General features: G+C 45.1%; 1 protein-coding gene and 1 long non-coding RNA gene across 7 annotated transcripts in view, besides 1 other annotated feature; one reads left to right on the top strand and one right to left on the bottom strand.

Moving 5' to 3' along the window:
- The window catches only part of IL19 (interleukin 19), a 72,209-nt gene extending 47,583 nt beyond the window's left edge, over positions 1-24,626 (top strand). For 2 of the 6 annotated variants that reach the window (NM_153758.5, NM_001393490.1), the window contains exons 3-7: positions 18,306-18,451; positions 18,603-18,668; positions 21,495-21,647; positions 22,649-22,723; positions 24,172-24,626. In NM_153758.5, the coding sequence (NP_715639.2) occupies positions 18,308-18,451; positions 18,603-18,668; positions 21,495-21,647; positions 22,649-22,723; positions 24,172-24,267 (534 nt within the window). In that variant the 5' untranslated portion in view covers positions 18,306-18,307 and the 3' untranslated portion in view covers positions 24,268-24,626. Of the gene's footprint in view, positions 1-10,676; positions 10,772-15,358; positions 16,046-18,305; positions 18,452-18,602; positions 18,669-21,494; positions 22,033-22,648; positions 22,724-24,171 lie in introns of those variants that run through there. The other 4 variants (NM_013371.5, NM_001393491.1, NM_001369605.1 and 1 more) reach the window with 4 other exon arrangements.
- Positions 13,412-13,631: a silencer, noted in NCBI's record as "silent region_1767". NCBI's record gives its function as "represses an Ori minimal core promoter by ATAC-STARR-seq in GM12878 lymphoblastoid cells {active_cell/tissue: GM12878}" and the evidence as "EXISTENCE:reporter gene assay evidence [ECO:0000049][PMID:35858748]".
- LOC105372878 (uncharacterized) lies at positions 22,685-24,466 on the bottom strand. Its single transcript, XR_922482.3, has 3 exons — positions 24,154-24,466; positions 23,068-23,363; positions 22,685-22,863 (listed from the first exon to the last, which is right to left on the bottom strand). It is a non-coding gene; the product is annotated as an uncharacterized LOC105372878 (long non-coding RNA).
- Positions 24,627-25,762: the final 1,136 nt, after the last annotated feature.

The raw sequence follows: 25,762 nt of genomic DNA on the forward strand, positions 1-25,762 counted from the left end.
CATTAGAAAGAAATTAATTGGTCATACATGCAACACCATGGACAAATCTCAAGATAATTATGTTCAGTTGAAACCAGACAAAAAAGACTACATACTGTATGATTCTATTTACATAATATACTAGAAAACCCAAATTAGTCTATACTTTCGGAAAGCAGATTAGTGCTTGCCTGAGCAGGGTTGGAGTGGGGATGTGGGTGAGAGGGTAGGAGAAAAGGATTAAAATAGAGCAGGAGAAACTGCTGGGGCTACTGAGTATGTTCACAGTTTAATTGAGGTGATGGTTTTATGGATGTCTGGATATGCCAAAGCTTATCAAATTGTACACTTTCGTTACAATAAAAAGTCAGCCCATTTAGAAGTTTATAAAGAAAAGTGAAAATTGTTTCTCTGCTCCAGATCTTACTTAGGTTTAGAGTTTGTATTTTCTTTCTTTCTTTCTTTCTTTTTTCTTTTTCTTTCTTTTTTTTTTTTTGAGGCAGAGTCTAGTTCTGTCGCCCAGACTGGAGTGCAGTGGCATGATCTTGGCTCACTGCAACCTCCGCCTCCCAGGTTCAAGCGATTCTCCTGCCTCAGCCTCCTGAGTAGCTGGGATTACAGGCACCTGCCACAGCGCCCAGGTAATTTTTGTATTTTTAGTAGAGATGGGGTTTCACTGTGTTGGCCAGGCTGGTCTCGAACTCCTGACCTCGTGATCTGCCTGCCTTGGCCTCCCAAAGTGCTGGGATTACAGGCGTGAGCCACCACACCCAGCTTATTTTTTCTTTTAAGGGATGGGTCTTGCTGTGTTGCTTGGGCTGGCCTCAAACTCCTGGGCTCAAGCAATCCTCCTGTCTCAGAGTTTAGCATTTCTTAACATCATCTTAACCCACACTGTTCAATATAATAACCTACTAGCCACAAGTGGCCATCCAAATTTAAATTAATTACAATTAAAATGTAAAACTGGGCTGGGTACAGTAGCTCACGCCTGTAATCCCAGCACTTTGGGAGGCTGAGGCGGGCAGATCACGAGGTCAGGAGTTCCAGATCAGCCTGGCCAATATGGTGAAACCCCATCTCTACTAAAAATACAAAAATTAGCCGGGTGTGTTGGTGTGTGCCTGTAGTTCTAGCTACTCGGGAGGCTGAGGCAGAAGAATCCCTTGAACCTGGGAGGCGGAGGTTGCAGTGAGCCAAGATGTGACACTAACTCTACCCTGGGTGACAGAGCAAGACTCCGTCTAAAAAAAAAAAAAGGAAAACTCAGTCCTTAGTTGCAATAGGCACATTCCAAGAACTCAATAGCCATTTGTGGCTAGAGGCCAACATATTGGAGAGTTCAGATTATAGAACATTTCTGCCATTAGAGAAAGTTCTTTTGGATAGCTTTTTCCTGGGCTATGTAGAGACTCAGCACTATTACAAGCAACTTAGATCTTTCACTGGCCGCTTATTGAGCACTTACTTTTGCCAGAAACTGCCAGGTCCTTTATATGAATTATCTCTAATTCTTGCAGGGAAAGACTAAGAGAAGCTTGAATAATTTTCCAAGGGTCGCAGTTACTAACTGGTATACCTAACATGTAAACCTATGTCTATCTAACCCCAAAGCCTAAGTTCTTATGTGGGTCTCATATCTCCTGTGACTGGGCCATCCCCCTTTCCTTCTATACTTGTGAAGGATTCTTTTCATATTCAACCATGGAGTCTTATATTTATCCCTCCTAAATTTTGTCTTGTTGGATTAAGCTTATTGCTCCAGATTGTCAAAATATTTTAGGATCCTCATCCTGTCATTCCATATGCTCACTCGCCTTCCAAGCTTCATGTATTTACTGACTTTGATAAATATGGCCCCCCTAAACTTCATCTGAGTGATCGATAAAAATCATTGCTAAGACAAGGGAAAGGATGAAGGCCTGTGGTCGGCTATCAGAAACCCTCCCGCTTGAGGTTGACATCAGTTTACCAGTCTGTAACCTTCAAGATACCAGCATACCAACCCATTTCTACTCTTATCTCCAGATTCTGAGGGATATGTTCTATATTTGGAGCCTAAAGACCTACTAGCACCATCTAGAATCATATGCTGGTTATAAATGACTTCCAGATGTTAGCCAAACAATGTTTGCTTCTAACCAAACATAAGGGCCAGAAAGATCAAGATATTGGCACCAGTGTTGATGCTTGTCATTTCCACTTAGCCCTCCTTGCTGCCCTCACCTCTAAAGTGGTTGTTTGATAATTTGTTGCTAAAAGCAAACCATCCCACAACAGCGGCTTCAAATAATAGCAATCATTTATTTGCTGATGAATTTGAAATGTGGACATGGCTGGGTGAGAACAGTGGGCCTCTACTTTACTGTGGCATTGGCTGAGCTTAAAGAACAGCTGTGGACTGGCACAATGAGGTTCCTCTAGCACAACTCTGAGAGTCTTGTCAGCTTTTCTCATGGCTTCCTGCCGCCTCCTCCCCACCCCGCTTTCAAACACTGCCCATATTGACCAACATGTGTTTCCCACAATGTGCCATCATTGACCATCTCTAGGGCTCCATCCAGTGTGCCTGTCCTTTTCCATGAATCCTCAAAGACTCAGCCAAGGTGTCACCTCTACCTAGGAGCCTTCCCTGATATCCCCTGCCCCCACACAACTTGGTTTGCATTACTGTCTCTCTACTGTGTTCCACAGCATGCTTTATTTCCCCTTTTCAAAGCACTTATACCACTGTAATGGATTATCCTCTTTGTTTGCCTGTCTTTCCCATGAGATCCTCAGCTCTTCAGGGGATGAAATTGTTGTCATTTTGCATTCCCAGACCATAGCATAGTGTGTAAGATACAGTGGGTGCTCAATCTGTTGAATCAATGAGTGATATGATGATGACAGGTTCTGGAAGTTAAAATGATACTATCGAAATACCAGATTAGCAACAGGACCTGGCACCTGTAAAGAGCCACAGTGAAGCAGGTTCTACTGGACATAAGATTAAATGAGTTCAAGTCCATAAAGCATTTGGAGCACTGTCTCACAAATAGTAGGCGCCATATAAGCATTTGTTGTTGCTATTATCATTGTTACGATGCTTGCGGCTTTCAGGTGTAGAGCTGTCTTTGCCAAAGGTTCTTTTTGCTCTCCCATTAGGGTTTTTCTTTAACAGGGACCTTGGACAACGTTGGCACTTCCTCCTCCTCTGGGAGTTCCCTGGGAGGAATCCTCTGGAAGAGAAAGTGTGTTCAAGACTAACAGAGTCTGCATGTGTTTTTCTCTTGGCAAAGGCTCAGTCCCTGCTCTAGCACCATTAGCTTCGCTCCTATTGTCTTCCACTGCAGCAGGTGGATGCAGGGATCACCACCTGCCAGGTGCTTCTAAGCTTCCCCAGGCACAGCAGGGCTAAGAAAAGGGAGAAGTGAGTTCAGGGACAGAGTGCTCTGGTATGCCGCCACCCTGGGATCAACAGCTCCCTTTCCCCCAGGATGTCCTTTGTGGGAAGGCTGGAAGGAAAGCCGCCCACTGAAATGAAAACTCCTCACACTTTGGGAAAGGGTTTGGTCTGCACCTTAATTTGGAAGAGGTGTCCAGGTTCTTCAAGTTCCCACAGGCCTTGTTCTTGCCCTGCCTTTCTGGGGTAGTCAGAAGCTGACAAGTCCCAGAGTTCTCTCGTCATGTCCGTGCCCCACCGTGCCTGGAATCTGGAGGAACTTGAGCACGGCAGTTTTAGCCTGAACTGTGATTAATATTTGGTGCTGGGAAAACTGGGGGTTCTGGGCTAAGCCTGAAATTATTCTGGGCAAGGGGGAAAGGGGAATTTCCAAGATGCCCTCGAGAGAATGAGCGGGGCAGGGTCCTGAGTAAGAGGCTTGCATGAAGGGGGAAATGGAGAAGGGCGATAGGGAAACACCCCTGGGTAGAAGGGCTAAGAAGCAAGATAAGTGGGAATGGCAGCTGCAGGGCCCACGAAGAGCCATAGCTATGGGCAAAGTTGGCACAAGAATCCTGGAGGAGAATGCTGGAGGCTGGTGGGTGATATGGAGGAAAGAATGGGGTTGAGATGTTCTACTTGTGCTCCTCTTCCATGTCTCAGGTTAAACCTCACTTCCTTAGAGAGGCCTTTCCTGATCCTCATAACCCTCATTCCATTCCGGAGTCAGTCTCCATGGGTCTGGATCTCAGCTCCTCACTTACAAGCTCGACAACCTTGTCCAAGTGTTTAAACTCTTTTAACTTCAGTTTTATCAATCTGTGTTATGTGGCTAAAGATAGTACCTTCTCACAAGGTTGTAAGGATTAAATAAATTAATATATTGAAAATGCTTAGCACAGAGCCCAGGTCTTGACTGGTAAGAGTGATCATGACATCTGTTTAATGGCCTGTCTCTCCTACTACTGTGAGGTCTGTGGGGCCGGGAATATGCTGTCCACTTTGGTGTCCCCCAACGCTTCGGTGTCCCCCAAACCTAGTGCAGGGCCTGGCTTGTTGTAGGGTCCCAGCTGAATGAATGTGTAAGTGACCAGGGTGGGCTCAGGTGGTTGCAGCCTTGTGGGGGTTAGGGTCTAGGGTTATATTTCACTGCATGGATCCTTTCTTTTTCTTTCTTTTTTTTTTGTTTGAAATGAAGTCTCACTCTGTTGCCTGGGCTGGAGTATAGTGGTGTGATCTCGGCTCACTGCAGCCTCCACCTCCTAGGTTCCAGTGATTTTCCTGTCTCAGCCTCCTGAGTAGCTGGGACTAAAGGCATGTGCCACCATGCCTGGCTAATTTTTGTATTTGTAGTAGAGACGGGGTTTCTCCATGTTGGCCAGGCTGGTCTCAAAACCCTGACCTCAAGTGATCCACTAGCCTCGGCATCCCAAAGTGCTGGGAGGCATATGCCACCGCACCTGGCCTAAACATTTTTTTTCTAGGTGATCCAAGTTAGAAAAGACACCAAGATGGCTGGGTGTGGTGGCTCACTCCTGTAATCCCAGCACTTTGGGAGGCTGAGGTGGGCGGATCACGAGGTCAGGAGATTGAGACCATCCTGGCAAACATGGTGAAACCCCTTCTCTACTAAAAATACAAAAAAAATTAGCTGGGCGTGGTGGCGTGCGCCTGCAGTCCCAGCTACTCGGGTTGCTGAGGCAGGAGAAAGGTGTGAACCCGGGAGGTGGAGATTGCAGTGAGCCGAGATCATGCCACTGCACTCTAACCTGGTGACAGCGAGACTCCGTCTAAAAAAAAAAAAAGACACCAAGACACCAAGATTATTCCTGGATAGAATAACTGTGGATGACCATTTTTCTTTCCTTCTAGTTTTTTATTCCATTATCTATTTTATTTTTGTGTTCTCTATAATTTTTCCATACCAAAGCAAGGATTACTTTTCTAATGGCTGAGAAAAGAAAATGTTATTAAACAAACATAACACTCTCCGTTGTCTGGAGGTGAGGAGCCATCACTGAAGGATAAGAATGGGTAAGAAATGCAGGGAATAAACAGTGTGTGATGGGAAGGCTTCTCAGCCTTCCAAGGCCTGTTGGAGGTTTCACAGGATGTTCCTGCCAAGGGAATTCTCAAAGCTCAAAGCCATGGGGGTGGAGGCCCTGCTTCCCTCCGTCTTAAGAAGGATGTGACTTGGGCAAGTTTCAGTTTTAGCAGGATCGCCGTGTCTTCAGAGGGAAAGAATGTTCTCAACCTTGAATCTTTTGCCAAGAAATGGTCCTGAGTGTTTTGAGGGGCAAAACTGCTGCTCCTGCTGCTCACTCAAGCACTGTTACTTGATATCAGCGGATTATTTCTCTCCAGAGGCTTGGGTCCCCTGGATGGAGGGCAACCCTAGCTGTTGCCCCAGGGGGAAGGCAGGGAGGAGGCTCGGACGGAGTTAAGAAGCCTAGGTAGGCTGAGTTCTAGCTCTAGCTGGCTGCATGATCCTTCAATCATTGAGCCTTAGCCTTCCCATCTAAAGAAAGGAGGACATCTTCCCTATTGATATGGAAGATCTTCCCTGTTGACATGGAATTCCGAGTGTGAAGTAATGCTATATGTGAAAAATGCCCTGGAGATCATAAAGTGATGGACAGATGCTGTTTGTGAATGAGAAGAGTATTGGTGGAATAGAGGAAAACATAGACTCTCTTCAGTGAGTTAAGTTTATGTTTCTTGCATCTGCCGATTCAAAAACATGTATGGCATTTCCTCCTTCTTGTAGGAGCTTCCTGTATGTTATACTGTCTGTTCCTCATTTGCCACATGTTATAGATGAGAAAACTGGGGCTAAGGGAAGATAGACTGACCTGGTTTTCCCAAGATCACAGAGCTAGTAAGAGTAGGGGAGGAATTATCACCCCCATTTCTCCGGATGAGGAAACTGAGGCACAGAGAGATTAATTCATTTGTCTGAAGTTATAGAGCCAGCAAGTGTGAAAGTTATACCTGAGTCTAAAAGAAAAAAATCTTTTTTTTGAGATGGAGTTTTGTTCTTGTTGCCCAGGCTGGAGTGCAATGGCACGATCTCGGCTCACTGCAACCTCTGCCTCCTGGGTTCAAGCGATTATCCTGCCTTAGCCTCCTGGGATTACAGGCGCCCATCACCACACCCTGCTAATTTTCTGTATTTTTAGTAGAGATGGGGTTTCACTGTGTTGGCCAGGCTGTTCTCGAACTCCTGACCTCAGGCAATCTGTCCACCTCGGCCTCCCAAAGTGCTGGGATTATAGGCATGAGCCACTGCGCCAGGCCCCCTGAATCCAAATCTTTTAATGTTACTAATTTAGGGTTCATGGACTCTTGAGGGGTTCTCAGAAAGACATCAGAAGGAAAGTTTGCATATGTGTACATTTTTGTGGGGAGAGGGATTCCATATATTGAATCAACTTCTCAAATGAATCAGAAATCTTGGACCTGTAGTTGGTGCATAAGTAACTCTTTCTGTATTTAAACATTGATCATACTACAAGAAAAGCTTTAGTGATGGCAAGTTACTCTGGCACTTAAAATGTGCTTAATTGTTACTGTGCTTCAAGGCTGTGAGTCAAAATGATTGAATTGCCTTTGATGCAGCTGGCCAACTTGAATTTTTCTTTCTCCTGGCTTAATAACTCTTCAATATCTATAAGATGTCAAGATCAAAATTTTTCCTTCTGATACCACATTTTGTTTAATCTTCAACTTAGGTGCAAACCCTAGACGAAAAAAGACTGTAATTCAACTCTTCAGTAGCCAGGATTGCCTGTCTCCAACCCCTTCTGAATCTAGTTATGTTGGATACTGGGAGAGAAGCATGTAGACTCTTTGGGCCTGACCTTTCTGATTTTTCTCTGGAAGGGCTTCACTGAAGGGGCACAGAAGAATAATGTTTCTACAGCATAGATCCAGGGGCTCCTCCCCACCAGGAACCCAGCTTAGCAGGCAGGCTGTTCATGTGGAACTCGCCAAAACCCCGTGCAGGTGGATGTGCGGAAACACCAAAGAACTGCACGATTGTCCCTGCCTTTGGAAGGTCTCATTCCCTGTCATTCCTTCATTCAGTCAACAAACTTGGAGGACCCAGTATGTGCTACATTTTGAGGATAAAGTGATGAACAACACAGACAAGATCCCTGCCCTTGTGGAGTCTATATTCAAACCAGAGCTTGACCTTCAAACTGAGAGACCAACTTAAAAATGGGGCCATCTGGCCACTAACTGTTATACACCCTCTGCTTGGGACACACGGTCTCAGCCCTCCTCCACCTTCAAGTCTGATAGGAGAGAGATTTCAGAGTGGCCCAAACAATCTAAAGTAAAAGTGAACAGAGTTCAAAATAAGTCCTCAAGGGCTGAGGGGAGACCAAGGGGAAGATAATGCGGTGAGGGCACTGAGAGAGGGATTCCTAGAGGAATTGTACCTTGCTTTGAATTTTAGCCCTAAGCTGCAAATCCTAGCTAACTTCTAAGTAGATGCTGACAGCTGGCTTCTATTTGGTCTGCCATATTGAATGGCTTTGTCCCCAGGACATGGTGGAGATTTAGACAACCCAGGGCAGAAAATCCTCTAGGAAAGGAAGTCTGAACTACACCGCTGGCTTTCTGAAAGGACAGGATTTGAGGAGCTGGGATGGTAGTAGGGGAGAGGGCAGCTGGGTGGGGTTTCTTCCAGGAAACAATGTGGATGCAAGATGCAGTCCTCGTCCCTGGCCTGCCCTTACCGCTTTAGTATTTCAGATGAGTCAGCTCTCACTCTGCCACCTGCTTTCTGTAACTCTGCAGCAGGCCAGCAGCCTCCAGTCCACCCTCTCCTCCTCCCAGGGCTCTGGGGTGAAGCCCTCCCCAGGAACTCCCTGGCTCCCAGTACCCATGGGAGAAGCTCTTTTCAACTGACATGATTTATTTTAACAATAAGAGGAAAAAACCACATCCGATTTCCACAGAATTAGAGTTCCTCCTGACACGCCTGGACTTGCCAGTTGGGAAGGACACTCTCAAGCCATCCTCTATGCCATTTGCCGTTCTGCTGTTCCTTTGCTTGGAGGGAAGAGATGCCTGTTTCTATAGGGAGGAAGTTTGAAGTGAGAAGAGAGGACAAAGATTCTGTGAATGGAAAGAGCACTGGACTGAGAGTTCAGGGATGTGGCCTCCGGTCCCAGCTCCACCACTACTCAGTTGTCTGACGAAGGAAACAGAAAGTTGTGATACAATGTGGGTGACACATTGCCTAGAAAGAAGTGCCGTTGTGATACGCTTATGTTGGTGGGATGGGGGAAAGAAATAACAGGTTTGTATGGAGTGTTATGAAAGAATTAAATCTTAACCTTCCATTGGGGTAAGCTGATGGAAACAACCATAGCAAAGGACAGACTGAATATTTTTTTATTCTCTTTATAGAAAATAACAGTAAAAAAAAGTATTGACATAGGAGAAGGAAACAAAAAGTTGTCAGGAGTTAATGAATAGAAATATTATTTTTTTCTGGATTTTATGGTGTTTGTGTTATTTGTTAGCTTTTATGAATTTGTAATTTGTTGTAATTTCTTTCTAAATAAGTATTTACTTTTGTCTCTAATTTTGTCCATCTATTTTTGAATTCAATTTTCAAATTCAAAACGCTTCTCTCGGCCGGGCACGGTGGCTCACGCCTGTAATCCCAGCACTTTGGGAGGTCGAGGAGGGCGGATCACGAGGTCAGGAGATCGAGACCATCCTGGCTAACACAGTGAAACCCCGTCTCTACTAAAAATACAAAAAATTAGCCAGGCGAGGTGGTGGGCGCCTGTAGTCCCAGCTACTCGGGAGGCTGAGGCAGGAGAATGGCATGAACCCCGGGGGGCGGAGCCTGCAGTGAGCCGAGATCGTGCCACTGCACTCCAGCCTGGGTGACAGCGAGACTCCGTCTCAAAAAACAAAACAAAACAAAACAAAAAAAACAAAAAGAACAAAATGCTTCTCTCTGGGCCTCAGCTGTTCCCTCATCTGTAAATGAGAAGGGTGGGCCAGATGCTCTTTCATGTCTGGTGTAATGAAGCCCTGGAGTGGGCTGCCTATGACTGCACGCAGCTGTACCACACCCCACCTGGGTGTCTTTGGGTGAAGTACTTGGTAGCTCCAAGTCTCATCTTCCTTATCCAAAATGATGGACACAAAAATAGTATTGACCTCATGGAATAGGTGTGAAGATGAAAACAGACAATGCATATGGATGCTTCACACAGACCCTGGGGTGGCAAATGTGCTCAGTACTTGTTAGTTATTAGTGTGAGTCTACTCTTTTAGTCTATGAATTTTGTTAGAGGAACTCCTGCTTACCAGGCCTCTGGTTTAATAAAACATGACTGGAGTGACACATTTCTAAGCTCACCACCACTTATAATTACAGAAGATTGATGGCTATATAGGACATCTCCCACCAAGCCTGCAGAATGTCCAGATGTCCCAAGTACAGCCCACTTTACTCAGAGATAACGTCAATGAGCAGACTCAAGTTGAAGGATTAATGGTCACTAGAGCACCAACAGCCCCTACCTTTAGTGAGCACATCTGCACATTCCAAGTTTAATCATAGCTCCTTATAGTTTCTTATAAGCAGAGATGTTCCTAAAGGACAGGGGTTCCTCCTCCTGCTTTCTGGGCATGCCCTACTCTCTAATGGAGTAGTTTCCAATAAATTTGCTTCTTTGTCTGTGCTCCAATTCTTTCCTGTGTGAGATCTAAGAACCCACTCTTGGGGTCTAGATTGGGATCCTCTTTTCTGGCAACATCTTGAGTATGTGACCATGAGAAATGTTAGAAATTGGAGTGAAAGGTACGTAAACATTTGAACCCAATACCATTCTCTGGTTCTCCCAGAGGCACAGTAAAAAAAAGTATTGACATAGAAGAAGGAAACAAAAAGTTGTCAGGAGTTAAAGAATAAAGATTTTTTTTTCTGGATTTTGTGGTGTTTGTGGTATTTGTTAGCTTTTATGATTTGTAATTTGTTGTAATTTCTCTTTCTAAATAAACGTTTACTTTTGTCTCTAATTTTGTATTTCTATTTTTGAATTCAATTTATTTTCCCGCAGACAGGGTCTCACTCTGTTGCCCAGGCTGGAGTGCAATGGTGAAATTATAGCAGACTGCAGTCTTCAACTCCTGACCTCAAGCAATTGTCCTGCCTCCTCAACTTCCTGACTACAGGTGTGCATGAGGACTACAGGCAGGCATGTGCCAACACATGCAGCTTTTTTTTTTTTTTTTTTTCAGAGATGTGGTCTCGCTTTGTTGCCTACACTGGTCTCAAACTCTTGGCCTCAAGGGATCCTCCCACCTCGGCTTCCCAAAGTGCAGAGATTACAGGTGTGAGCCACTGTGCCCAGCCTGAATTCAATTTCTTAAAAGGACTCTCCCCACCCAATTGTATGAGCTATGCATGGCCAGATTTAGCAAATACAAATACAAGACACCCAGTTAACTTGGAATTTCAGGTAGATAAACACTGAGATGTTTTCATTGAAATTCAAAGTTAAATATGCATCTTGTATCCAGCGGGAATATAAAAAAGGAAAGTAGTGGTCAACTCAACCAGGGTTGAAGTGGGGAGGAGGAGGGGAGTGGGGAGAGGAAAGGAAGAGGGGAGAAGTTTCACAAAGGAAGTCACACTGGAGCTAGGTTTTGAACGTTAGGTTGGTGTTTACAAGGTAGGTGAGGCAGCGGGGCTTTCTAGGTGAGATGAGCCTGTGAGGTGTGGGAGATCTGCAAGAGAGATGAGGCGGAAAATGTAGGCGAAGTCCAGGCTGTGATGGGTCTGGATGCTGTGGGGAGCAGATTTCCTGCTACTGGGAGGCCCCAGGGCGTTATGCTGGGAGTTTTAGACTGGAGAGTTCCAAGACTGGGTTTGCATTTTAAAAAGTCCACCTACCTAGGGAAGAGTGGATTGTTCAGGAGAGGAATGGGGAGGCATCAGTTGGGCTCTTTCCATTACTATCCCTCCATCCCATCACCACTGGGGCTCTTTCATAACATTTGAACCACAGAGCCCATTGACATAAGATGTGTCACCCAGGGTCTGAGGCTTTGAACAGACTTTGACCAAGATCCCTGTGGGCAAAAAAGGAGGAGGAGAAGGAAGTACAGGCTGAAGTGGCATAGGTGCCCAATGTGGATTTGTGCTTCCCTCCCCAGGAGCACAGGTGTGGCCAGTTTGGATTTCCTTAAGTCCTCAGCTTCCTGGGTAATGACAAGTCAGAACAGCATGGCTTGGGAGAGTTATGTCACCTCCTCTGCTGAATGGGCTTGAGGTTCCTCACAAGTCTAGGTTCCTTTCCACTCTACCTAATCCTAGAGTGAAAGGGCAGCATGGGGTTAGAAAGGGCGCTGAGCCAGAGGTAAGGAGATAGAGGTTTGAGAGCAGTTGTGCCACTTCCTTGCGGTGCCATGGAGGGCTGGTTCACTTCTCTATTTCTTCATCACTGTAATGTGAACATTGAACTGAGTTATCTCTGTTATATTTTCTGACTCTCATTTCCAAATATCACAATAAAGGAGAGCCAACCCCACTGAAAATGAGGAATAAAAGAGAGAGAAAAGATAAAAAAACAAAAACAAAACAAAGGAGAAACTTCTTTAGGTTTAAATTTCCCAGTTCTTTTTCTCACCTTTTTTTTTGTTTTATTTTCAAAGCTATACAGAAGTTCACACATATCATTATGATCTAGATATATTTACCAAGACATTTAAACATTTATGTATTCTGTTTTAAAATCCCTATTAGCTTCCCAAATAAAATACCCATCCATCATTATCAGTTTTATATATATATATATATTTGAGATGGAGTCTTGCTCTGTTGCCCAGGCTGGAGTGCAGTGGTGCGGTCTCGGCTCACTGCAAGCTCTGCCTCCCGGGTTCATGCCATTCTCCCGCCTCTGCCTGCCGAGTAGCTGGAATTACAGGTACTGCCACCACGCCAGGCTAATTTTTTGTATTTTTAGTAGAGACGGGGTTTCACCACATTGGCTAGGATGGTCTCGATCTCCTGACCTCGTGATCCGCCCGCCTTGGCCTCCCAAAGTGCTGGGATTACAGGCGTGAGCCACCGCTCCTGGCCTACGTTTCTTTTTTTACAAATTCGTTCTCAGTCATACTTCTTCGTGTTTTATAGTCCTCATAATGATAGGTTCTTTCTCAAATCTAACCAAAATTACTCATATAGATCTAATACATTTCATCTAAATCCTGCAATGGGCCACACATTGCTCAAGTCCATGGAGCCTCATTCCCACAGAAGGCAATAGGCATGGTACCCTCTGGAATTATGCAATTTTTGTATGCGCTCAAGACTCAGTACTTAGGAATGGCCAGGATCCACTCTTTTAAGGGAAGGAAATTGCCCTGGCATCATTATGAAAAATTCATGAGGTTGGAGTGCATGTTAGGCGGGGATAAGGAATTGGAAGACATGAGAGAGTTGTGTCCAGAACATGTCAAACTCAAAGCATTCTCCATTCTGGCTCGCCAATCTTCCCTCACATTCTTTCTGCTTCCCTACTCAACAAGTGGAAAATTGAGCTCTGATATCTCAATGGTGGGTCCATTGGTCCCAGAAGTCCTAATTCTAAGGCAGATGCAACCTTGTGTCTGGAGACCAGATTCATAATTGAATTGCAATCCTGGGAAAGATGCCATTCTATCTCAATCTATATTCTTATTTTTGATATTAGGGGTCAGGCAGCAAGGCTTAAGATGAAGAGAACTTATTTCTTATTGTTCCCCCTTCTTCCTGATTTAGGAGCTCTAAAGGGAATTATAAAATTGATAATAAATGTCATTTTCAAGTTGCTTATTATGCGCCAGGTACTGTGCTGAGGAATTATGTGTAATCACTTCATCTTCATGCTGCGCCTACATGGTGAACGTGCAGTAGGCATGATGTGTACCATTTTACAGATGAGTAAACAGGCACTGAGATTAAGTGGCTTGCCTTCAGTCTGACAGCCATAGAAAGCAGAGCCAGTCAACCCAGCTTCCAGTACCAGCGATTATGGTACACCACATGCTGGAAGAGGAGCTATAAACACATCACTTATTTCCCTTCCCCTGCAAGCTTCCTGATATGACATATCTGCCCTGAAATGAAAGCTAGGTCAGAACATATAGCCTGAGCACAAGGGGTGAATGTGGGGTGAGACTCAGCATGGACAGTGTTGCAAATCCCCTTACATGTGCAGCTGGGCTCTGAGCTGCTATTCTCACATGTGCAGAGGGACTCCGAGCCAGGCAGCTCAGGCCCTGCTGGGAAAACAGCACCCACCTCCCTCCATCCCACCCCTCTGGGGGAAACAAGGGTGGGAGTAGGGGAGATTCCCGAGGTCAAGAGTAGCTCTTTGCACCCTCTCCAAAGGAGCAGAAAGATGTCCATTAGCTCCTAACAAAGGTGTCTTCTCCTTTTCCAGGTGCCTGGCACACAGGATAGAAATACATAATATTTATTAAGGAGTACTTACTATGACACAGGTCCTTTAGCTCATTCAAATCCTCACAGTTTTATTTTACCTATTTTATGGAGCTTCAGAAAGGCTTTAAGTAGCTTTTCCAGTGTCTATAGACCTAATGCATTTCATCCAGACTCTGCAATAGGGCCACATATTGCTCAACTCCATGGAACCTCATTCCCATAGAAGGCAATAGGCATGGTAACCTTTCTGAGCAAGGCAGAGAGGGTACCTGCCTGGCCATACCCTCGTCTTATTTCCTTAATTGTTTTCTTTCTTCTTTAAGATATAGCTGATTAATCATTATTATGAAATGCCTCTTTCTTCTGGGTCTTGACATGCAGCTTCTAGGAAAAATGATAAACTCCCCATCTCCATGCAAATGAGATTTTTTTTGCAATTCTATGTTCATACAGAAAAATCCAAGTTAGGTCACTTTCCTGAGAGCTGTGGCATGCTACCAAGAAGAGAAGGGAGATAAGGAAGAAGAGAAGAGAGTGAACCAGGGTTTAAATCCAGAACTACGTTGTGAACCACTATAGTCTACCACTTCCCTCAACACTTACCATTTTATTATGTCCAAGATGCTGGACCACAAGACATCAAGTCCCTGGGGTTTCTTTCCCTTGCACCTGTCCCGTAAAAGGCCCTGATCTTTCCTGTCCCTTTTCCTTCTCTGCCGGTGCCCTGTGGCCCTCTCTGTCTCCCAAATCTGGCTGCAGGAACAGGGTTTGTACCAGCCCAGTGGGGTCTCATAATTGCACCTCATCCCAAGGTCACTTCATTTGGTTAAAAATAAGCTCCATTTATTCTGGGAGTCTGTGTTTGGGGATGTCAAAAGACAAAATTACAACACATTTAGTTTAAAGATCTTAATTGGCTTTTATTTGCAATTCTAGAATCAGGCAACATCCTATTTTATAAAAATAGAATGAGTGGTCCCATGAGCTGACAGAGGAGAGTGGTTTTGTGGGCAGACAACTGCTAGAGGAAGCAGAAACAGAGAACAAAAAGCAAACTGGTCATTTAAAAGTTACTTTCCTTGTAAAGGTTAGAGCAGAGGAGACTTCCTTATACGCTGGCTAAAACTGGCTTGTTTCAGGATTTGGCTATTATCTTTCTCTCTCCTGATTTCTCAGAAGGTTAGATAAACAGTTTAGTTTCAGCTTGGTGGTGTGGAACTTCATTCAGCATGAGCGACTCCATTTAGGTTTGGCCTATTGGCCTAGTGCAGTAACTCAGTCCAAACCAATTACCCCCTGGAAATTTTATTTAATGGGAAGAAACTGTTTATACCCTATCTTTTCATTGCCCCAAACCTGATCCCTAGAGAACTTCTTGGTAAAGAGTTTATGTAAAAAGGTAATTTAGTTAGAGAGTCTTCTAGCCCAAGAATAAGGATTTCAGGTCCTGGCTCTGCCACTGGCTGATCTTAAACCTCTCTTCTTTCCAGTCTCATTTTCTCTCTCTCTGCATTAATCAAGAATGAGAGAACCCTCCAGGGGACAAGATGAAGGGGAAATAGATGATGTGCAAAGAAATCCTTGCTTTATGAGGGGAAAAAGTGTTCCTCATGAAGTTCAACAAAATGATGCAGGTAAAGCAGTTAGCTAGCACCTGGCACATGGCAGACACTCATAGCTGCCTAAGGCATTGGAGAACTGGATCGTGCTGCAGCCAGAGGCACCTGCAGAGCCTCATGGGCTGGCTGCTGCAGGGTGTGGCTGATTGAGAGTGCTTTTGTGAGTTGGCCTGCAGGGTACACTTGGTAACGTGCCACAGCTCTCAGGAAAGTGACCTAAGTTGGATTTTTCTGCATGGACATAGAATTGCAAAAAATTCTCATTTGCATGGAGATGGGGAGTTTATTTTTCCTAGAAGCTGCATGTCAAGACCCAGAAGAAAGAGGCATTTCATAATAATGATTAATCAGCTATATCTTAAAGAAGAAAGAAAACAATTAAGGAAATACAATACTAAGAAAACAAGGGGAAAAAACAATCTCCCCAAGGTGGATCCACCCAGCAAACCTTGACAGCATTTCCTCTTATCCACCTGAATAAAAATGACCAGCCCTTTCCAAATGGCAGAGAGCACTGAGAGGAGACACAAGGAGCAGCCCGCAAGCACCAAGTGAGAGGTGAGGCTCACGCTGTCCGTCATCAGGGGCTCCTATGCACCGCCATCCTAGCCCTCCTCCTTCACTGCCGCAGGGAGGTGACCTGTTACCATTGTGTATGGCTATGATGTTCCAGATGCTGGGCATTTGGTAGAATGGGAAGGGGTACTCTATAGAAAAGGTGAATTTTCTAGTATCTTATTTTCAACGAGAAGAGATAGAGAGTGGGAAAGAAGGAGTGAAGGAAGGAAAGGTCAAGGATTTAATGTCTTTACTATTGCTTTTTTGTTCCAAGAACTGTGTTGGGCACTTTATAATGTGTTATCATTGTTTAATCCTTTGCAATGTGAAATATCTTTTTAAATGTAAGGAGCATCACTGGTTCAGAAATGGGTTCCTGTCTGTCTGGTGTCAGGGGAGCTACTGGGATCCCAGGCTATGATGTCAGAGGGAAACAATGTTGTAAGTGGGGTGGAGTAGCAGTAAAGACAGCCAGCTCAGGGACTGGCCCGCCTTCTCTCAAACCCTGGCTTGGGCAGGTTACTTCATTTTTTTGGTAAAATGGGAACAGAAACAGAGCCTACTTCATAGGGTGGTTGTGAGCATTAAATGAGAAAATTACGTAAAATTCTTGGGACAGTGCCCAATGCACATGGCACGCAGGATAAATGTTACTTACTACTAATATCTGAATTAGCCAAGATGTCTGGAATTGCCTCACCAAGCTAAGGGAGACATCTTTCTCCTCCACAAAATGCGCAAGTCTCCTGGCATGGGATGAGCAGGCAATATCTGCCTGCTTCTGAGAGTTACCTTGTCAGAAGAAAAACTGCACTCTCTTTCTTGGCTTTCTAGAAGCACCCCAGTAGCGTTCTGAGGAGACAGAGCTCTGGGGGACTCTCTACAAACTTCCCTGGCAATGGGGCCCATCCTTGTTTAGCCAGAAAGAGAGGTTGATAAAAGAGGAAAGGAGCTCTTTGGCTTAATGCCTGCCACGTGGTAAGGTCTTGACATACACCTGTCTATTCCCTGGGAATGATGCCCAGTTAAGGAGAGACAGGCAAAAATGGTTTCTAAACAGGATTTGCTGTTTCTGGCTTTCCAGAGGAGCTGGGAATCCTGAGGAAGGCATGGGGAGTGGGGGCAGCTGGGGTTCACACTCACACGTGTGAGTTACAGCAGCTTTAACTATAGCTCTACAGTCCTCGCAGCTGGCTCCCTGTGTCTTATGCCCTCCTCTCCTCCACGGCCACACACGATACACTTACCTTGGCACACACAGCTGTAAATGGGAGATCTCAGTGGGCACCATGCAAAGTGCATAGCAGAGGGCTGCTCTCGTCACATGTGTTGTCATAAGACATGCGTTAAGGCTAAGCTCTATTTATAAGCTTGTGAAATGTGGGTGAAAACAGAGATAACCCCATAAGCTGTACCATTATATTTTACGCACTTTTCTCTGTGCGCATTATGTGGCACAATACAAAGTGGTTAAATGAAGAGGCAGCAAGAAAGACAGAGGCAAGAAGGGTAAGAGAATGAGAAGCGGTGGCAAACCTCTCAGGGTCTGGCCCTGGCTATGAAGCAGCTAGCTGCAAACATGCCCCTCATACCCTTTGGCTCAGCAGGTGACCGACGGGAAGTTGCCAAGCTGCCCTCTACCTTTGGCTTCTTCCCCTAGCTCCTTATTGTGGCTAATTAGTTCTTGAAGATGCCTTGTGCCTCCCTTTCCCATCTCTCCAGAAGGTGAAATCTCCACAGCTGGCTTCAAACAAATGATTTTAAGCAGATACACTCTTGAGGTTTATAATAAAAGGGTGTTACTTATTTCAGGGGCAAACATCAAAAACCAAGTGTGTTTTTATGGTTTTTCACATCTGTTGCCGAATTCCTAGGGCATCTTACCAACCCTGCTTTTCCTATTTAATTTATTAAAAACAATGCTTTTCACCCCTGTTGACAAAGTAGGCTGTGTTGAGTCATAGGAGAGTGATATGCATACAAGTATGCTTCCTGGGACTTAAGAGAGTGGTGTATCGTGTTTTCTGGGGTGGAGGTGGGGGCATGGGGTGAGGGTGGGGAAGAACTCATATCCAGTTGACTCAAGAAAACCAGAGGAGATACATACCCCTGTAACTCCTCAAGGCTGAAGTGTTTAGTGTTGTTTTCTTGTATTCCTCCCGGCTTGCCTTCGAGGCTGGAAAGGAGCGTCAATCAGGGGTCTTCTTTTTCATTGCCCTCCACTCTTGGCTGGACAGCTGACTTCCTCTCCTTTCTGCAGGCATGAAGTTACAGTGTGTTTCCCTTTGGCTCCTGGGTACAATACTGATATTGTGCTCAGTAGACAACCACGGTCTCAGGAGATGTCTGATTTCCACAGACATGCACCATATAGAAGAGAGTTTCCAAGAAATCAAAAGAGCCATCGTGAGTATGGGTTGGTGTAAAGGTGTGGATGACGGAGTATCCCTCCCCTTACATCTTAGCTTGAAAATGAGTTCCTTCTCATTGCCTTTTGCATCTCAGAAGAACATAGGATACCGATTGCTTATGTCTGTTCTTATGTTTCCCTCCACAGCAAGCTAAGGACACCTTCCCAAATGTCACTATCCTGTCCACATTGGAGACTCTGCAGATCATTAAGGTATTGGCCTGTGTCTGCTTTTTCCAGTATTTTTATCTTCATGTCTAAATGGCTCTGGGCTGAGAAAGAAATCCCTACCTTGTCCCCTTCTCTTTCCTAATCTCCAATGTACTCTAAATGCACCAGGCTTCTTTGTCAGATGATGTGTTAGGGCACGCTAGTGTCCCAGGGATATGTAACCCCTGGGAGGAATTAAAGAAGTGCTGCTTCCTAGAGAGTGATTGGGGGTGCCAGGTGCTCAGAGGGGACAGGATTTCTGTGGCTTGGGGGTAATTTTGGAAGGTCCCATGGAGGTAGCTAAGAAAACAAACGGTGACTTAACCCGAGGAGGTTGTAGATCAGTGAATAAGAGGGAGGAAGGAATTTGGGCAGGATAAGATAATGGGTGTAAGATCAGTGAAGGTCGGACATAGAGGTGACCAGGTTTGTGACCCAAAGGACATATAAGTGAGTGGTGGGAGATGAAGTGAAAAAATACCCTGGAGTCATTTTATAAAGGTCCCTGGAGCCAGGCTGAGCCTCAGGCTTATAATACAGACAATAGGCTGGGTGCAGTGGCTTATGCCTGTAATTTCAGCATTTTGGGAGGCTGAGGCTGGTAGGATTGCTTGAGATCGGGGCTTGAGACCAGCCAGAGCAACATAGCATGACCTCGTCTCTACAAAACAAAACAAAACAATTATCAGGGCATAGTGGCATGCAACTCTATTCCCAGCTACTTGGGCGGCTGAGATGGGAGGATTGCTTGAGCCTGGGAGGTCAAAGCTGCAGTGAGCCATGATTGTGTCAATGCACTCCAGCCTGGGTGCCAGATTGAGACACCCAAAAAGAATAAAAGAATGTGTGTTAGGGCATGCTAGTGTCCCAAGGACTTGGAATCCCTGGGAGGAATTAAAGAAGTGCCGCTTCCTAGAGAGTGATTGGGAGCTCCCAGTGCTCAGAGGGGATTAGGATTTCTGTGGCTTAGGGGTAATTTTGGAAGGCCCCATGGGGGTATAAAAGAATAAAAGAAAATAATAGCAGCAATAGAGAGTCAATGAGATTTTTGAGCCCAAAGTTATATGATCATAAATTGTTTTAGAAAGACAATCTGGTGCTGTTCTTACAATGGACAACGTGAGGCAGGAAAGCCAGTGACAAGATCTGCCCAATCATCTAGACAGGAGGTGATGAAAGTATGTTACAAAATAGCTGGCTTACCAGGTGATCATTCATTTTACAAAAAGGCCCATGAGAGATGCCTTTAAAAGAGAGCTCCTCCAGTCCTGGGAAGTATTCTAGACAGATCCAGTTTTGGGAGGGATTTTGTATGACAGAGTGTAAGGTATATTTGTATTGAGTTACTTTTTTCTCAGGTTTCTCTGCATACGTGAGAGACACACACACACACCTCTTCATAATTCTTCTAAGCAGTGATTTATTTGTGGTGAAGAGATGTAGCCACTTACTAAATAATATTCTAGCCAACTGTATTATAGACACAGAAGATATGACAGCTAGAAGGGACCCAAAAGACCATCTATTCCAAAACCATCATTTTCAAATGAGGACAGTGAGACCTTGGGAGGGAGCATGACTAGTTAGTGGCAGAGTTAGGAACAGACCCCCAAATATATGCCCCCATCTTCAGATTCTTTCTCCTCTCAAGGTTGGGAAGTAGCTCATGTGGAATAAGAAAAGGAGTCAATAAGGATTCAGGTTCCTTCCCTTCCTTTCCCTTCCCTTCCCTTCCCTTCCCTTCCCTTCCCTTCCCTTCCCTTCCCTTCCCTTCCCTTCCTCTCTCCTTCCCTTCCTTTCTCACTCCCACCTTCCTTTTTTCTGCAGTGTTCCTTTTTCTAGTACCACAGTCTTTGATAGTGCAGAGGGGTGTAACATTTTGCCCTTCTGGTTAAGAGAATCAGCAACAGTGAAGGAAGAGAAGGGTTTTTGTGTTGCCATCTAGGAAAAGCTGACACTGGGGCCAAGGAGGCTTTGCTTCTTGAATGAAGATGGGTGTGCTGTCCCACCGTTAACCACTCCCTGCTTAGACTGAACAGTTAATCTTCTGCAGAGTAACTGGCTCTCAGGGCAGATGGCGGGCAAACTTCTAGAAGGAAACTGTCTAGCCAACTTCACTGGGCTGTGCCTGGGAATTTAGAGACTATTTCTTTGGGACATCTGCACTCTGCAGGCTGCAGACCTACCCAAATATGCCCATTTCTGCAGCTGTCGGTCTCTCTTGCAAATCTCAGCCTCATTCCAATGACCTTTCTGGTTTTAAAAGGACAGACTACAGGAGAGCTGAGCAGTGTGGTCCAGAGTAAGGTGGCCAGAATGAATGCAATGTGATTACAGTTGGAGGAATGCATACCTAGCAGGATGACTGGCATGCAACAGCCCTTGCATGTTGGCAGATGGGAGACATAACAGAGAGGCAACTTCAGCCCCTGTAGTGTAGGGAAGTTCTTTTCAAGAAAGCTGCTCAGCCATCAGTCCTTTTAAAAAGGAGGCAACTGGTTCCTGGAAAGATTTCAGTGGAAGTTAGTGATGACACGCTAGGGATACTGCAGAGAGAATTAGCCTATGATGGATTCTGGGCCCCATCCTTAGTAAATGTATTTCTCGGCCATACAGAAAAAGGGGAGAACTGGAATCTCTTCTCACTATTTTTGTCATAAGTAGCTTTGATGGGAATAAGAGAGGATGAACACTCTGAGACCATTACGAATTTTTCCAAAATGACTTTTAGTTCTCTCATGTGTCGCTGCCCCTACTCAAATGGACTGCCCTGGTCTCCAACATAATGAGAGAAGAGGCCTCTAGTGTTTCCCTAATTTGTGTTTGTAGCCCTTAGATGTGTGCTGCGTGACCAAGAACCTCCTGGCGTTCTACGTGGACAGGGTGTTCAAGGATCATCAGGAGCCAAACCCCAAAATCTTGAGAAAAATCAGCAGCATTGCCAACTCTTTCCTCTACATGCAGAAAACTCTGCGGCAATGTGTGAGTCACTGGGTCAGAATTCCAGCATCTGCTCCCTGTCTGCCCAAGGAGAGGCCAGGAAGTGCTGGCCCCCATCGGCCTCCTGATATGGTGCTTGGAGTCAAAGGAAATTCTCTGCGCACGTCCACAGGGAGAACTGTGGAGAACCTCTCCCAGTGGCCACTGCTTCCCCAGGGCTCCCTGCCTGCTGACAACTCCTCAGATGGTCTCCTCCTAGATAACCCTCCTGGGGTGACCAACTTATGTCAACATATTCCTTAGTAAGAGGCATGGCAAGGACTCCAGTTCTACTGTAAGCATACCCCTGGTTTCTTTATTTCTGGCCCTTTGGTGTCTTTACATCAATAAACCTCTGGGTAGTTCCTTGGTATGGCCTATCCCTAAAGGTTACTTAGAAATTCATTGCGATCTATTTAAATCCAACATCAGAAACAAAACCAACACAAACCAACAAAAACTTAGACCAGGAGAGAACCTGGGCTCTAGCCCCATTCCTGCTAATGATTTCCTGTGAGACTTTGTGGCAAGTGACTTCACCTCTCTGTGCCTCGGATTCTAAAATTGTTAGAAGAGTTGATGGCCCCTGTCCTACTTGCATTAATATGATAATGGACTCAAATAAATTCACCTAACCAGTTGTTTAATTAACAATTCGTTAAAATTAATTATCTAATTAATAATTAACATTTAACAAATGTTTGTTGAGTGCCTACCCTGTGGGATGCAGCACTCAGAGTGGTGATAAGACAGATATGGTGCCTGCTTTCCTAGTGCTGACAGTCTGATGTGTTCTAAATGCAGAAAAAACAAAAGGCGTGGGCAGATGCAGGTGACTCTACAGACAAGCTCTATTCTTCCGTGGCTGCTCCCACCTGAGTTTACTCATCTGACTCTCACTGTGGGAGGGAGGAGAAATGTCACTTCTCATGTGGGGAGGCAGGAGTAAGAGAGGGCCAGAGTGGAAATGTCCTCTGATAGGAGCTTCCTCCACTTTATCACAGCAGGAACAGAGGCAGTGTCACTGCAGGCAGGAAGCCACCAATGCCACCAGAGTCATCCATGACAACTATGATCAGGTAAGATCTGGGAAGAGGTTGGGGAAGATGGAAGATGAGAGGTAGATCAGGAGGGTGCCAGGCCTTCAGCCTCCTCTCCACTTAAATTCATGCATTCACTCTATAAGCAGCCATTGTGGGCAGGCCTCAATTCTCTGTGTCTGTAAAGAGAGTTTTGATTTTACCTCATTTGCTAATCTCCTGGGCTCCCCATCTCCATCATTCCTCCACCATTTTCTCATACCCTCATATATCAAGCCTGACCTGTATGATTTGGGGAAAGCACCCACTGCTTAAGATGGGATGACACAGAGGGAGCAAAGATCCCCCATGAAATGTGAGCTGTTACGCCTGAAACGTGTTACCTGCACGCCGTCACTGCGATCACTACCTGCCCCCCCATATTGTGTGTAGTGATGAAGACATGGTACTTCTCATGTTGATGTTGGTGTAAAATGCACATCTCACGTGGAGGTAGAGGAAGAAGCAGTGTTTCTCATGAGCATCAGTTCAAGATCTTGTTAAAATGCAGATTCTGGCTCAGCAGGGCTGGGATGAGCCTGAGTTTCTGCATTTAGATCACACTGTCAAATGATACCAATGCTTTGAAGAGCAAGAGTTAGGGAGTCTGTTATGGGCTCTGCTTCTTTGTGGAGAGACTCTGTAAGATAATGTTATAGAAATAGCTAAGAGTTACATGGTTCTTACTATAAGCCAGGTATTGCTCTAGGCACACAACAAGTATTAACACACATTCGTCCTTCCCAACAATGCTATGAGTCATTATCTGCATTGGATACATTAAGAAACTGAGGCTCGAGCAGGTAAAGTAACTAAACTAAGTTCACACTGCAACTGCACGGCAGAGGTAGGATTCAATTCCACGCTGGCTGGCTCTACAGGACGCGCTAAAAGCATGAACTCAGTCTGCTGAGGAAGGAGGTGGAATAAGGCAGGAGACTTGGGTTTCATTTCCAGCTCTGTTACTAACTGGCTGTGTGACATTGGGTAGGACACTTGCTCTAGGGGCTTTAGTGCTCTAATATGTCAAATGAGGACAACATGCTCTCCCTACCCACTGTCCAGCACCTCAGGGACAAAGATGTTCTGGGATAACAGAAGCACTAAAGCAAGCTGGTGTGGAGAAGAAAATCAGCGGAACTGGCCAGTAAGGCAGATTTTTTTTTCCTGTGAAAAACAGAGGAAAAAAAAACCTGAGGGAAAAGAATGAAGAATTTTAAAGTTCTGTTTATAAGGAGCTGACATAATTTAACTACTTGTTTGTGGGGAAAAAAATTGGTTGCCTGCGAGGAAAATAATATTGAGTCTGTATGTTATGCAAATATATTTCGTGACAAAAAAACAAAAACAGAAACAAAACCTTGTGGGAACCAGCATATGAAGAAAGTGACTTGAAAACCATTACACAGTCTAGAAAGGTGGGTTCTTACATTGATCTCTGATTTCAGCTGGAGGTCCACGCTGCTGCCATTAAATCCCTGGGAGAGCTCGACGTCTTTCTAGCCTGGATTAATAAGAATCATGAAGTAATGTTCTCAGCTTGATGACAAGGAACCTGTATAGTGATCCAGGGATGAACACCCCCTGTGCGGTTTACTGTGGGAGACAGCCCACCTTGAAGGGGAAGGAGATGGGGAAGGCCCCTTGCAGCTGAAAGTCCCACTGGCTGGCCTCAGGCTGTCTTATTCCGCTTGAAAATAGCCAAAAAGTCTACTGTGGTATTTGTAATAAACTCTATCTGCTGAAAGGGCCTGCAGGCCATCCTGGGAGTAAAGGGCTGCCTTCCCATCTAATTTATTGTAAAGTCATATAGTCCATGTCTGTGATGTGAGCCAAGTGATATCCTGTAGTACACATTGTACTGAGTGGTTTTTCTGAATAAATTCCATATTTTACCTATGAATGGAAGGATCTTTTCATTCAGGGAGAGTCAGTCAAGACTGAGGACAGGGTGTTTCTGACAGAGGGATGGTTGTCATGGTGACAAAGCTGAACAAGCACAGACACAAGTAAGTAGAGAGGCCACTGGGTAGAGAGGCTGAAAAGGGTACCAACATCTAGATGGACACTGCATAGATGATTCAGAGCACAAATGTGTATCTTTCAGATTTCATATCACATGCTTTAATGGAAAGAACAAGACCTCTGAAGTCCAATTGATCTGGTTCCAATCCTATGTGACTTTGAACAAAGCACTTAACGTTTCTAAGACTCAGTGTCCTCTGTTGTAAAGTGGAGATATTAACACCAGTCCTGTAGTGTTGCTGTGAGCATCGAGTAAGGAAAAGGTCTCTCATGACCTCAGCAGGGTGGGAGACAGCACGGTGCAATATAAAGACTGCCGACTCAGGGGCCACCTTCTGGTTCTAAGGCATCTCCTGCCATGAATTTCCCAGGGCAGGTCAGTACATTTCTTTGGTCCTTAGTTGTTAGTATTGTGGATACTGACCCTTCTGTACTACCTGCTCCATATAATTATTTATTTATTTATGGAGACAGGGTCTCACTTTGTCACCCAGGCTGGAGCACAGTGGCATGGTCATAGCTCACTGTAGTCTCAAACTCCTAGCTCAATCAATCCTCCCTCCTCGGCCTCCCAAAGTTCTGGCATTACAGACTTAAGCCACCACACCTGCCTCTATAATCATTTAAAAGCTGGAGTCATTATGAGGGCTTTGACAACCCTGATATCTGCACACACACCCCTCCTGGCTGTTTTCCCTAACTGTGTCCCTGCTCCTTCCCCAGGCTCACTGTGACCCAGCCATAGTTGTTTGCTCTGTGTTTCGCAAACACACCAGGCATGTTCTCACCATACAGTGTATGCACTTTGTGTACATGCACACTCATAAACTGAGGTAGGGTTAAAAAATAAAACAAACCCTCCACACATTATGCGTTAATGGGATTCATACGCTATTAGGGAGCAGGGTTGTTTGCTGAGGACCTAACTTTTCCAAAGTGACCTTGGATGGGCACCCACCCTGAGCAGGCTGGGTGATGGCAGTTATAGCATTTCTGATCTTTTATCACTGCCCT

This window comes from Homo sapiens, chromosome 1, assembly GCF_000001405.40.
Source record: "Homo sapiens chromosome 1, GRCh38.p14 Primary Assembly".
Taxonomy (NCBI): Eukaryota; Metazoa; Chordata; class Mammalia; order Primates; family Hominidae; genus Homo; species Homo sapiens.